The 1,234-nt window shown below is 56.2% G+C and overlaps 1 annotated feature.

Annotated features, from left to right (window-relative positions):
* Window positions 527-1,026: an enhancer, noted in NCBI's record as "H3K4me1 hESC enhancer chr21:47442841-47443340 (GRCh37/hg19 assembly coordinates)". NCBI's record gives its function as "activates a minimal SCP1, AML or CMV promoter by ChIP-STARR-seq in primed H9 embryonic stem cells {active_cell/tissue: H9 hESC(primed)}" and the evidence as "EXISTENCE:reporter gene assay evidence [ECO:0000049][PMID:30033119]".

The following is a 1,234-nucleotide window of genomic DNA, read 5'->3' as shown; positions in this document are numbered from 1 at the left end:
CACCAACACTTTGAACCAGATGCTTCTGGAAAAGTGACGCCTTTCCCATGCTAAGTCCCGGACCACATGTTAAGCTGTGTTTCCATTATCTTGCTCCTTCAAAGGCTTTTTTTCTGGAATCGCCTCTTCTTTTGACATCAGCATGAATGGGATGCATTTCCCTGGTTTTCCTTTCTTGGCTGCCTTTTAGACAAGGCATTTTGAAGATAACAGTTTTACTGCCTGTCACTGCAGCAAAGCAGACCGGTGACGACAGAAACCGAGCGGAGGAAGTTTTATGGCTCCTAAGTCATCCTGGAGACCCCAGGCCTTGCAGTCACCCTCCGCAGCCCACACTGCCCTGGTCCTGGCCACTGAGGTGAAAATTATAAGCTTCCCCTCCTGGGGTTTCCTTTTTTCTTTGCTCACATCAGGAACATCTACATTCAGACCTGGGTGGACTCTTTCCTTTTTTAAAGTTCCTGATATTGAGAGAGCTTGAGTCCATCAAAACTCTGGACAGTTAGGAAAGACTTGCCATAACCACACATAACGGACAGGCCTGGCCTGGACACCATCCTGAAGCTCACCCTAGAGCGCGGACGCGTCCGCACAGGTGGACGGCGTGGTGCTCGGAATGCAGTCACCCTGGATTGCGGACACTGGCTCCTCAACTCTAGCCGCGTTTGTTTGGGTGGGCACCTTTGACCTCTCTGTGCCTCACTGCCTCATCTGCGACACATGGGAAGGCAGAGGATCCACTTCAGAAGGTGGCTGAACCAGGACATTGAGGCGTGTGAGGTAACAGCCTGCAACACCGTCCACACGGGTGTGGGTGATGCCATCACCCCCGATTCCCCAGAGGAGGGGGCAGACGCAGACGACTCCAAGCTGGGACCAACCACCTGCTCAGTGGAGTCATCAACACCGCCGGCTGTGGACCCGGTGCTGCGTTTGGATCCCGGCCCTGTGCCTCAGTTACCCCATGGGTCCAGTGAGAGCAGGCACAGCCTGTCTGGCCAGCCGCTGGGGACTACACAGCCCCAGCTGTGCAAACCGCCACCAGCGGGCCCAGGTGGCCCAAGCCAGGCGGTCACCAAGCAGCCCAGCAGGAGGCTCTGGACCAGAAAGAGGCTCCCACTCAGCTGGGAGGGTGAGGCAGGGGCAGCCCAAGGTGGATGAACATGGATGCCGCTGGAAGCCCCACATCACTGGAAATGCACATCCAGAGCCAAGCAGGAGCCAGGCCACCGTG

The sequence above is a fragment of the Homo sapiens genome, chromosome 21 (assembly GCF_000001405.40).
Source record: "Homo sapiens chromosome 21, GRCh38.p14 Primary Assembly".
Taxonomy (NCBI): domain Eukaryota; kingdom Metazoa; phylum Chordata; class Mammalia; order Primates; family Hominidae; genus Homo; species Homo sapiens.
This window is presented reverse-complemented; position numbering and strand designations above follow the sequence as displayed.